Source organism: Homo sapiens, chromosome 15 (assembly GCF_000001405.40).
Source record: "Homo sapiens chromosome 15, GRCh38.p14 Primary Assembly".
In the NCBI taxonomy this organism is placed as follows: domain Eukaryota; kingdom Metazoa; phylum Chordata; class Mammalia; order Primates; family Hominidae; genus Homo; species Homo sapiens.
The window spans coordinates 49615271-49627806 of NC_000015.10; the positions used below are offsets into that span (position 1 = coordinate 49615271).

Below are 12536 nucleotides of genomic sequence, written 5' to 3' on the forward strand. Positions count from 1 at the left end.
AAAATAAATGACTCAGCCAAACAATCCCTTTCCCCTCACCCACAAACCTCACTTCTGACTTTTACCAAGTCAGATAGTTTGGCTCTGTATCTCCACTCAAATCTCATGTTGAACTGTTGGAATCCCCAGTGTTGGAGGTGGGGCCTGGTGGGAGGTGATTGGATCATGGGGGTGGTTTCTAATGATTTTGCAACATCCCCCTAGTGCTGTTTTGTGATAGACTTCTCATGAGATCTGGTTGTTTAAAAGTGTGTAGCACCTCCCCCTTCACCCTTTTCCTCCTGCTCCAGCCATGTAGGACGCATCTGCTTCCCCTTCACCTTCTGCCATGATTGTAAGTTTCCTGAGGCCTCCCCAGCCATGCTTCCTGTACAGCCTGTGGAACTGTGAGTCAATTAAACTTCTTTTCTTTAAAATTACCCAGTCTCTGGTAGTTCTTTATAGCAATGTGAGAACGGACTAACGCAGCAGGGGAGGAAGGGCTGGAAAATATATTCTGCTCATGAAGCTGGAGGTTCTACTACGTCACATGACAAACGACATGCATATAACAAGAAATGGACAAGGGAAGGCTAATAATATAAGCTATTATAATGTTTATAAGAAAGATTGGCCTGAATTTTTCTATCTTATAATGTGAAGATTTGGAATTAAGGCTATTATGGTCTCAAAAAAAATGAGTTGGGAAATGCCTCTATTTTTTTCTATTATCTGAAAGAATTTAAAATCTGAAAGATCAGTACTATTTCTTCCTTTCTTCCTTAAATGTTTGGTGGACACTGCTAGTTATGTTCCCTGAACCTGAACCTGAAATTATGGGGGAGTTTTAAATTAAGGATACTGTTATGGACCTAATCATGCCCCCACCCCAAATTCATATGTTCAAGCCCTAACACTTATAACAAGATGTGACTTTATTTGCAGATGGAGCCTTTGAGGAGACAATTAAGGTTAAAAGAGACTAAAAGAGTGGGGCTCTAATATGATTGGTGTCATTATGAGAACAGACACCAGAGAGCTTGCTTGCTTATACTCTCTCTCCATATACACACAGATATTTTATCTGTGAAAATATCTAGAACTATGAAATAATAAACTTTGTGTTGTTTTAAGCCACTTTGCTTGTTGGCTGTTTGTTACAGCAGCAATAAGAAACTAATATGAGGAGAAAGAGTGATTTTTTTTTTTAGCATTTTGCAGATGTGAAAAATGCCACACACTTAACTGATGCTCTGTCTATATAAGAGAAGAGGCTTTGTAAGGACATGGTGAGAAGGCAGTGGTCTACAAGCCAGGAAGAGAGGCCTCACTAGAAACTCACACTGATGGCACCTTGGTCTTGGACTTCTGGCCTTTAAAACTGTGAGAAAATAAACTACTGTTGTTTAAGTCATCTACTCTGTGGTATTCTATTACAGCATCCTAGGTAGACTAATACAGATATAAGCTATCAAAATTAATATAGGATCATTCAGCTATTCTATTACTTCTTAATTTTGGTAAATTATCTTTCAAGAAAAATTGAAATGTCAAGTATTTTGATATAAATATTTATTCTTAATATCCTCCTATTATCTTTGCAATCTGTAGTGTCTGTGGTGATGTTTCATTTTTCATTTCTGAAATTTGTACTTTTCTTTATCTTGGTCAGTCTATCTAAAGGCTTATCAATTTTATTAATCTTTGCAAAGAACCAGTTTTGGCCTTGTTGCTTTTCTTTAGTGCACATTTGTTTTTAATTTCATTGATTTATTCTTATCTTTATTAGTCCCTTTTCTTCTTTAAATGTTTGAGAAACTTCCAATGATAAACCTTGCTCTACTATGAAGCTGAATGCTTGACAATTCCTGTTGAGACACCATGAGGCTTTCTATCACCATTTTAATCCTTGTATTTCAAAATGGATAGAAAGCTAAAGATTATTATTTATGGACTAATTGTGAAATAAAAAATATTTTTAAAAAATGGAAATCCAAACAAGTGACTAAAAATAAAATCTAGGCATATACAGACAATGTGGGGAACAGAAGGAAACTTCAAAAAAGTCTTTAAGACTCATAGAGAGCTATAATAAGATAATGCATCCCTGAAACCAAAACTGCATGTTATAAATGAATACAGAATAAGAAAAAATGCAAAGTACAAATATGATATAAATTATTCAACAACAGTCTAGTGAAAAATAGCTGAAGAAATCTTCTAGAAACTAGAACAAAAATGTTAAAGTAAACAAGAATCAGAGGATAAAAAAACAATAATTTAGAGGATTATGCCAGAAAATGACTTTCAATCTGTAAATTTAAATATAAACAGAGCATCAATTAAATGTGTGGCATTTTTCAGATTTGCAAGATACTAAAAAAAAATTCATCTCATATTAGTTTCTTATTGCTGCTGTAACAAACAGCTAACAAAGTGGCTTAAAAAATCACAAAGTTTATTATTTCACAGGTCTAGAGGTCGGGAATCTGAAATGGGTCTGCAGGGCTATGCTCCTTTCATGTTTTGTGTGTGTGTGTGTGTGTGTGTGTGTGTGACAGAGTTTCACTCTTGTCGCCCAGCATAGTAAATTTACTTGTGTAACAAAAAAAACACAAAATATCAATGGCTTAATACACATAATTTTTTCTCCCAGAAGATCTTTTTGTGAGAAAAGGGGCTTCTAGCAGTCACCTGCTATCCTTTGCTCAGAGCTCCTCCCTCTATCTTCAAAGCCAGCAGTGTAGAGTCTTCTCCCCTCTCTTGACATCTTGTCTTCCTCTCATAAGAACTCTTTGATTATGTCCAGCCACCCAGACAATCCAGGGTAATTTAGCCCATCTCCTTAATCACATATGCAGTTCCTTTTGCCATATAAAATATCAACAGGTTCTGGAGGTAAGGATATAGACATCTTTGGGGGCCATTATTCTATCTACTACACTCCTATTTACCTTTTTCCAAGAAGGTATTAGAGAATGTAGTTCATTTTTAAAAAGGGATTAAACAAAGAAAAAGGAAACAAGGGATCTAACACACAGGAGAGCAGTATTATGTTGGAGAAACCAGCAATCCTAAATAAACTAAAGGCTGTAACGCTGTAGGAAGAGTATCTGTAAGGAAAAAAAATCTACTGGATTAACTGATGTATTTCACTGTGATGCTTTAGCAGTTTGCCAGTGTTTGAGAACAGATAAATAATACATTAAAAATGGCAGTTAAGAGAAAGGAAAGTAAAAAGTTGTATTAAAAGTTAATGCGATCTTAGTATACTATGTGCCTTGGGGTTGAATGACATTTACCTAGACAGTAGTGATAACACTAAATGTTGATTTAGCCAAAGCCTATGATATCACTATTGACAGGTGAAGGGACAAGAAGAGTGTATGAGGTAGAGAGGGAATGTTCACACACTTGGAGGTGGTGTTGTTACAAAAGACCTTTATCACTGCCTTCCACAGGAGAAAGTCAGTGGGTAATGTCTGAAATTGGAAAATCAAGAAACTGCAATGTAAGTATATTTAGACATGGGGGTAACAGATGAAATATTTAAAAGACTTGAATTTTCCTTTGGTGAGAAGAATTGAGAATAGAGTAGAAGGGTTGGGTACTACAGGGTTTTCTTTAACCTAGAATGTGGCAAACTGTTAGTGCTCACCAATATGTGTGTGTTTCTCTACATTTCTCAGGATCCCCGGCAGTTAAAGTGGGGGCCTTGGGACTAAATTCTGGCCAACAGAATGTGGCCAAATTGATACATGTCATTTTTAGAGTTAACCTTGGGTAATTTGCCATACTTTCTTTCTTGTCAAACAAGCTAGTCCTAGAAGGCAGCAGAACCATTAAAAATAAAAACATCTGGCCTTGAATTTAACATTTCGTCTGCCTAGAAATAGCCACAATGGATCTTTTGTGAGGAAAAAAAAAAGTGTATTAAACCACCGATATTTTGGGGTTTTCTGTTACAGAAGTAAATTCACTATGCTGGTTTTAAAACATGGACAAGAAATCTTTGCCAATCCTTTGAGAAGAGGGATCTATGTCTCCTTTCCTAAAATGGAACAGGACTTTGACACATTTGTAAGCAAAAGAAAGTGGGGGAAGTAGCACCGCGTTACTTTTTGAGGCAAGGTCAGAAAAGGTCAGGCAATTTTTGCCTTGTTCATTGCAACACTCCCTTTGGAGCTCTGAGTTTAAGCTAAGAAGTCTGACTACCTTGCTGCCATACTGTGAGGAAACCCCGGCCATATAGTTACAGAAGCTCTGCTAGCATGCCCACTCTAGTCTTTCTAATTGAGTTACCAAAGAAAAGCTGATGACTATGCCCTATTGACAACACCACCTGTGAACATAATAAAATGGTTGTTTTAAGCCACCATATTTTGGAGTAATTTATTACATACGATAGCAACCCAATGCTCAATCTAACAAGTAGTATTATTTGCTTTTTAATCTGTGCAATTTAACTACTTTGATAAAATTTAGAGTTAAACTAAAAAGGAAAATGGTTGTGAATTCTTCTTGGCTTATAGACTTTGCTATTCTACTTTCCCTACCCAGAAAATTCACCTTTCTCCCTAAATCACTGGCTTTCAAACTTTTTAAGGTTTGAAATACAGTAAGAAATACATTTTACAAACAAGCCCTAGTGCACACATACACGCATATATACAATTAAAAGCTCCATAAAGCAGTACTTTACTAACTAACACTAAATTTACTTACATGCGCTGATATTTCCAATCTATATTGTTTCTTTTTTTTAAGTTTAAAGAGATTTCCTTGCTTACAAATGGGTCAAGACCTCCACTAATGGGTCCCACACAATCCCCTTTCCAGTTGAAAAACACTGTCCTAAACCTAAATCATTCTTCAAGGCCTTACCCAAGTCCGAAAAAGAAGCCTTTATTGACCACTCCATTCTCAGCTTTCTTGAAATTCCTGTAATTTATTAAATTCCATTTTTTATCTCAGTAGTAAGAATATTGCATTTTCTGTACTTGAATTTAACATGCTTTACTTGATATCGTGAGCACTTCTAGGGCATTGTAATGTCCTTTATCTACCACTTGATAAATTCAGAGTAGTCAATAAAACATTGCTCAACATTTGACCATTGTGTTTTAAAATCTTAGTTGTTAGAGTGCACTTCCGTTTGCGCATTGTTTGGGGAGAGGCACGGACAAATGTTCTAATAACTTATCCACATATTATACTTCAAAGTGGAAAAACACAAAGTACTCTTAACTCTATATGCGTGTTTTTATGCAAACTAAATCATTAAGATACAAATGATTTTTCTAATAGCTTTCATTACCACACAGCACACGAAATAATGATATTGATATAGCCACGAAAGACTAATGTAACCAAGTTCTCACAATCAAAATATCTTTGAGGTGGGCAAAATGCAAACTTTTCTCTGGGATCAACATTTCTTCACAACTCACTGCAACTACGCCTTGACAGTATGTTTCGAGAACCGCTTCCCAATTTTGTTGTCCCAGCAAGAATCGGGAGGAAACTGGGTGAAAGGCTGCGAGGCTTGAGGCGGGTCCCGGACGAACGCGGCCCTGCCCCTCGCCGGAGCCTCTCGGGAGAAGTGCGACACCGCCGCTGATTGAGAGGCTGAGGCGGAACTTCCCGTCTAACCCCCCCCCCGCTGTCGTCCCAGCCTGTTGCTTAAGCCGCGCGGTGTGCGGTGTGCGCGGCCCCTGCCTTAGCAACGACGCTAGTAACTGCCTGGCTCCTCCCTCTGGTGTCTCCCGGAAAGCGCTCCGTCTGGTCCGTGCGCGATCACGGCCCGGCGCGTGGCTCGGGCTCGGGCGGAGCTGGAGACGTGTGGAGCTGTTCGAGGACTCGCGGGTGTGCAGGTCTGAGTACCACTCCGATCCCTGGTGGAGGTCCCCGCGCCTCTCTGGAGACCAGTGGTCTGGCCCCAGAGGTGCGGCCGCGGGAAGTGGACATTCTTTGTCAGGACCCTAGCGGAGGTCGCGCTGGGTGTCGCCTGTGAGGGGGATCCTCGGTTTCTGCGCGGTCTCTTGCTTTTTTTAGGATCTTGCGGGCCCTTTGGGAAAAAGGTTTCCAAATTTTTCCTCAAAAAAAAAATTATTTTTCCTACCAATGATTTTCGGTGCATTCCGCCCCAACGAAAAGTATGTCCTGGCAAAGTCAGTTCCCTAGGAACCCCATACTTTATTTTATTTTATTTTTAGTATTTGGAGTGGTTTGTGGGGGTTTGGTTATCACGGAAGGGGAAGCGTAGTACAGACGTAGAATTAGTGATGCCATGCAGTGTATTTAAAATATTGAGGTTGTGGTTACATAATAAGCAAAAGAGCCTGTTTCTTACGTCTAAATTATTTATTGGGAATGTAGGACAAATAAGGAAGTATATTAACATTTTCAGTCGCCAGGCCCACAAAGTTGGATGGTAAAATCAATACTGTAGATCGCAGCATGTAAGGACTAACCCAGTGCACCATGAAAACGAAGGCAAGACAGTTTGTTACCATATGGCGGGTGGTGTGGGAGAGGCCATTGATCCTATATGAAAAAGGGTACTACTACCTTGGATTATGAAAAATGAATGTTGGACCTGTAGGTCCTATGTGACCAAGTTCTTAAAAACACTCTAAAGAAAATTGGAAGTGGTTTTTTTCTAATACTGAATTGGTCCACAATATAGGACAGGGGAGTCTGTATAGTGTTCCATTGGGAGGTGAGTCAGCTTACAATAATGGAAGAGGTAGAAGCTTTTTGTTATTATTTTGGAGAAAAAAAAATTGCCAGCCTGCCACTTGTGCTAGGCTGCAGACGGCCCATAAAGGTAGTTTGTCAGATACTTCAGTAGTGAGATGCTTACTGGATGTGTTTTGCAGAATGGTTTTGATTTAGTTAACAAGTGTTTGTTGAGTTCCTGCTGTTGCATAAGAATCAGGAATAGGTGAGATCAGGGAAGGAATCTGCTCTTACAGAGTTGAATGCTGGAGGGGATAGATTCACTAAAGTACCTCCACAATAAATGCATTTTTCCATGTCAAATATGTGGAACTAATAATAAGTACTCAAAGAGGTTTAAGACATTGCTGTGGCCCATCTATGAGTTAATAAGGAACTGAATTAGAATCCTGACTTTGAGAGTGAAGATAGAGGATTATATACAAGGTAGATGCAACTTGGTGAGTATAATTAATTTGGGGTGGAAATTGGGTAGAAGGAGGAATAAAAAATTAATGTATTTTTAGCCTTAAGTTCCAGAATGATGGACGCACCATCAAGGTGTTAAAATTGTTAGTTCCTTAGGAACAGTCTTTATGTTTTCTAAGTCTTTTTAGCCCCCATGACTCAAATTGTACTTCCTTGCACATATTTGATGTTAACAAGTATGTTTTAAAAATTTTAAATAACCCCATTTGCAATAAAATCATTTGCAATGATTTTCTCACAGTCGAGGCAGGCTGTTGGCTCGGTTAGGACAGATGCCCTGATCATGTAGTTTCAGAGACCACTGGAGGGAGCTGCCCATGATTTACAATTGCTGGCCTCTTCTACGTGGCCACCTCAGCCATAAGTGAGAGTATATAGGTGAACTAAGAGGTGGAGCCATAAACATTTCTCTTTTACTGTCTTACAGGTATTTGTGGTGGTTGATTTTTCTAGAGGAAGGTTATTTATATAAAGCTTCACTAATATCCATTTAGTTATGTGGATAGCAGGTCCATGAACTGCAAAGTGATATTTCTGAGGTATCTCTAGGAGGAATGCACTTTCAGTGCCCTAGGATAACTCCAAAAACTCACCAGTAGTTTTCTGTTAAATGTCAGGCAACCACAGTAACTTTCATGACATCCACAGGAACTACATTTTTCAGTCCCACTATGCCTGGGCCTTTGAGTGGTACATGCATTCCCACTAAATAGCTACTCCATTACCCAGGGAAATGAAGTCAGGTTGAGCTACTCCAATCAAATTTCATTTTTTAGGATGAATCCCATCATCTGAATAACTCAGGACTATTAAAGCCTCAAAATGTTTCTCTGTAAGAACCTCAGGCAACACCAGGACAAACCCAAAGAGAGTTTAGGTGAAACTTAGCTTCGTATGTGCAGCAAAGAGACGCCAACAGAGCATTTGCAACTCTCATTTCTGGGGACTATTAGGATCTCTTCCCAAGCTTTTTTTTTTTCTCTGTTTTAGAGATGGGATCTCACTTTGTTGTCCAGACTGTTCTCAAACTCTTGTGCTCAAGTAATCCTCCCACCTTAACCTCCCAAATGCTAGTATTATAGGCATGAGCCACCATGCGTGGCCCTTCCCAAGCTTGGAACTTCCTTACCTGGGTCGTAGATGGACTCTAGGAGATCTCCAAACCTCCTGAAATTGTGTGCAAAATATTGTGTCTGTATATGCATTTTCTAGGGATGCGGTTTAATATTTTCATGTGATTCCTAAAAGAATCTGAGGCTCAAGAAAAGAGGGCATCTTAATATCCTGCACTTTCAGTCATTGAGGGCATGATCACAAAGATCAAAGCCATTTTTAGGCAGGTGAGTTGGAGTGGCAGTCAGAAGTAGGTAAGATTTTCTATTTGTGAGGCAGGAACAAGGGATTGGACCATTGTTCTTAAATACTGCTTTCTTACCCAAAATGCAAATCTGTGCGTAATCAGTACACAGCAAAAATATTTACTGTATTTTGTTTTTCCCCTTGGGTACATTTGGCAAGTGCCTTTTTCTACTATAACCGGCGTTTTTGTATCTCTTTATTTGTATCTCAAACTCACTGGGACTTACAATCTTAAAAAAAAAAAGAAAAAGAAAAATTCATTTGATGAGTAATTAAATTAGTGCCACTAACTTCTTCTCAGCAAATTATGTTGTATTTTATGTTTCTCTGGACTTTTTGTTCACTTTCTGTTTGGGAGACCACAAAATGTTTCCTGCTGGAGTCACAGCATTTCTCTTGTCCCTGTTTCTACTTAAAGTGCCTGGAGCTTCGTAGTTAAACCACAATGCCAGAAGGCTTTATAATAAGAGAATTATTTTACAGCTGTGGAATGCATATCGAATCAATAGGGCACCAGTGTTGTTTCTCCCTTGAAAGATATCTTCCTTACAGGGTATACAGATAGCAATTTTGGCAGCCATCACCCTTCTTTGAAGAAAATATTAAGTGGGAAAGTTATTTTACCATTTTTCTCTAGTACTAAAGAATCTGAATGATGTATGTTTTTAAAAAACATAAATTCTTAGAGTAAGTGGACATTAATGTTACTCTGTAAATTTTTAAAATTTATAGGATAATATATTTTACCTTATGGGATATTTTACAAATTGTAATGAGTAGTAGATGCCTCTTATTTTTTATTGGATATGAAGTTTTATATGTATATGCACACATGTACACAGACACACTCACACATATGTAGTGTGTGTTTAAGTTGGAGAGGGTTATATCTTTTAGAACATAACCAACTAAATTTTGCCAATTCCACTAGAATCTTCTATTTTTCATTAATGTCAATTCAAAGTCAGAGCCAACAGGGTTGAATATATCCCTGTCTGATGCTAACGTGAAACCATTGCATTCCTAATATCTGGAAAACAAAACTGCCATCTCTGGAACAAAAAAGGGTTCTTGAAAAATGGATTCTCAGTACCTGAACTTTATATTTGAAATAACTTTCAGTTTATTGCTTTTAATCTTATGTTTTAAAGTGTGCCAATTTGGTGGTTTAAAACATGTTTAATAAGTACTAAAACAGCACACAATTGTGACTTAAATTGAGTAATTTTCTTTGTAGACTGAGTAAAATGTTTTCTGTTTTTATTTTTCCTTCTCTTGATACTTTTTTTTTACAGTGCACCTATGATATGTGTTTTAGAAATAGCCGTTAAACTTTGGTTTGAATGAAGAATGTCTCTCAATCCACCTATATTTCTCAAACGAAGTGAAGAAAATAGTTCAAAATTTGTGGAAACAAAACAGTCACAAACTACTTCCATAGCTTCAGAAGATCCCCTTCAAAACTTATGTTTAGCATCTCAAGAAGTTCTTCAAAAAGCTCAGCAAAGTGGGAGATCAAAATGTCTCAAATGTGGTGGTTCCAGAATGTTCTACTGCTATACATGTTATGTTCCAGTTGAAAATGTACCTATTGAACAGATTCCACTTGTGAAGGTTAGTAAGAAATTTAATTGTTTGAAAGTATGAAAATAGATTTTTTAAAAACATCTCATGTATACCTACTCTAATTGATAAACTTAATAAATAATGTTATTATTGTTAGAAACAAGTGCTTGTTGCTGCAAAGAAAAACTAGCACTTAGACAGAAAATTTCTCAGCAGGGCACATTTACTTCTGCAGAAGGGTGCTGCGCCTGATCGCAAGAGCACACCGAACAAAGGAAGGAAGGGATTTTTAACCCTAATGCAGTTCCTGTCCCTGTGTCCTTCCCTTATTGGCTAGGGTTGGACCACACAATCAAAACTGATTCCAGTTGGCTAAGACTTAAAATTTTCCAAATAGGGTAAATGCACGATTTGTAAAAGGAGGGGTTAGGAGTGGTCTGTCCACTATAGTATAAGGCATGTCTGGACATGTTTGGCCATGTCAGGGCACAACAAGAGTGGGAGGGTTGTTTGCAGGCTGGAAACGAGAGTACAAGGAGCTTGGGCTTCTGAACAAAGAATAAGAACATCACACAATTAAACATTTTGAAGAGGAATTTATCATTCCTAGCATGAAAACCAAGTGTATTTATGGAAAATTTAGCCCTACAGACCACTAAACCTCTTTGTTTTTCTTGTCTCTGGGTCTGAAATGGTGTTTTTAATGAAACCAATTAATTTTTCATTAATGATTTTAATTTATTTACAACATGGGAAAAAATGTGTGATATAAACTTATGAATACTAAAAAAAAAGTTTATAGACACCCTGAAGGAGCTCCAAACACTCATGTCTTTGGACTGCTCCTTGAGAAAATACTATTCTAGTAGAATTAGAGTTGATTTTCACCTAAGATTTTGTGACTTATCCTATACATGGGGATGGAGCAGATTTCATTGACCAAAATGAAAATAAAGTAAAATTTAAAAACTAAGACCAATTCCCTGGGCTGTGTTATCATTAGAGTGATTTTAAGCCCGATTTGATTGCTTACCTTTATACTTTTTGGGCTCACCAACACTACTTTTGTATAGGTAAAAGGTCTGTAGAACGTCATGTCTACATAATCAAAGAATTTATTATATATATGTTAACTTGTCTAACATTATCCCAAACTTTAGGAATAAATCAATTAATGTATAAAATTTGACTGTGTAAGACTTTAGAGAGACTAAATTCTACACATGGACTCATTAGAACTTGCCAGTAAAAAAAAAATAAGTTGTAGCTATATTTTAAAATTTGTTTTGATGATTTTAAAGTTCATTTGAATTTGAAGTAAGAAGAGTACTTTGACACTCATATTTTATTTGAATTTCAGTTTAGCCTATATCATCTTGGCCAGTCCATGGTCTCCTCAGCATCTAAAATCACATGTATAGGCTAATGGAAAGTTTACTAGCCAAGAATAAGTAAGTGTGGAATTTAATATGATCTTCACAGTTTGCTCCGAAAAAACAAGAACTTGAGGGTAATAATTATTTTCAAGTTTCCCATTATCTTACAGGAATGTTACATTTTGAAGTATGGTTTTTGAAGTATACGTAGAATTATTCTATTTTACATTTCTCTCATAGCCATGTAAAGAAGGGATTCCATTAAAAGTTTTATCCTAAGGTGTATTGTATTAAAAAATGGATTGCATATTATAATAATAATAATCAGTAATATAGTTACAGGGCTGATATTTTCATAGATATTTAATAATAGAGGGTATTTTCCAAATCAGTGGTCTAATATACACCATTTAATAGAAATGACTCAAGACATTAGTGTTTGATCATCTCTCAATGGTCTGGACTGTGCAGAGTTTTCTAAAGTGTTTATATTTTAATGGCCTTGTATAAAATTTGATACTTTAATATACATTAATGGTAATAACAGCTCTACAAAATGTCCTTTCCAATTTTTACTTTATTTTTATTTTAACAAATCATTCAGCATTTGCTTTTAGATAGCCTACTTGGGAAAGGAGGATGACAATATAATGAGTAATTCCCTCCCAATTTTAGTCTAGGGAATGCATTCATAAATATAGTCATATGTCTCCTAATGACAGGGATACATCCTGAGAAATGTGTCCTGAGAAATGAGTCGTTAGGCAAATTCACTGTTGTGCAAACATAATAGAATGTACTTACACAACCTTCATAGTATAGCCTACTATACACCTGGGCAATACCTATTGCTCCTAGCCTACAAAATCTGTACAGCATGTTATTGTACTGCATACTGTACACAGTTGTACACACAATGGTATTAGTGTATCTAAACAAATATAAGCATAGAAAAGTACAGTAGAAGTACAGTATAAAAATAGTAATCCTTTATGGGCACTTAGCATGAATGGAATTTGCAGGACTGGAAGTTTTTCTTGGTGAGTC

The 12536-nt window shown here is 37.0% G+C and overlaps 2 protein-coding genes across 34 annotated transcripts in view, besides 2 other annotated features; one reads left to right on the plus strand and one right to left on the minus strand.

Annotated features, from left to right (window-relative positions):
* The window catches only part of FAM227B (family with sequence similarity 227 member B), a 293849-nt gene extending 288301 nt beyond the window's left edge, over nucleotides 1-5548 (minus strand). For 15 of the 24 annotated variants that reach the window (XM_017021994.2, XM_017021990.2, XM_006720426.3 and 12 more), the window contains exon 1: nucleotides 5361-5548. The gene's annotated coding sequence lies outside the window, so the exon portion shown is untranslated. Of the gene's footprint in view, nucleotides 1-2673; nucleotides 4921-5360 lie in introns of all 24 variants that reach the window. The other 9 variants (XM_047432224.1, XM_047432222.1, XM_047432221.1 and 6 more) reach the window with 3 other exon arrangements.
* A 229-nt stretch (nucleotides 5549-5777) lies between these two features.
* DTWD1 (DTW motif tRNA-uridine aminocarboxypropyltransferase 1) overlaps nucleotides 5778-12536 on the plus strand; it is a 35185-nt gene continuing 28426 nt past the window's right edge. For 3 of the 10 annotated variants that reach the window (NM_020234.6, XM_017022425.2, XM_017022424.2), the window contains exons 1-3: nucleotides 5778-5852; nucleotides 8401-8528; nucleotides 9843-10161. In NM_020234.6, the coding sequence (NP_064619.2) occupies nucleotides 9898-10161 (264 nt within the window). In that variant the 5' untranslated portion in view covers nucleotides 5778-5852; nucleotides 8401-8528; nucleotides 9843-9897. Of the gene's footprint in view, nucleotides 7161-8400; nucleotides 8529-9842; nucleotides 10162-12536 lie in introns of all 10 variants that reach the window. The other 7 variants (NM_001144955.2, XM_011521815.3, XM_017022423.3 and 4 more) reach the window with 4 other exon arrangements.
* Nucleotides 5890-6009: an enhancer, noted in NCBI's record as "active region_9388". NCBI's record gives its function as "activates an Ori minimal core promoter by ATAC-STARR-seq in GM12878 lymphoblastoid cells {active_cell/tissue: GM12878}" and the evidence as "EXISTENCE:reporter gene assay evidence [ECO:0000049][PMID:35858748]".
* Nucleotides 9856-11055: an enhancer, noted in NCBI's record as "MED14-independent group 3 enhancer chr15:49917323-49918522 (GRCh37/hg19 assembly coordinates)". NCBI's record gives its function as "activates an origin of replication core promoter dependent on BRD2, BRD4, P300/CBP and CDK7 cofactors, and independent of MED14, by STARR-seq in HCT116 cells {active_cell/tissue: HCT116}" and the evidence as "EXISTENCE:reporter gene assay evidence [ECO:0000049][PMID:35650434]".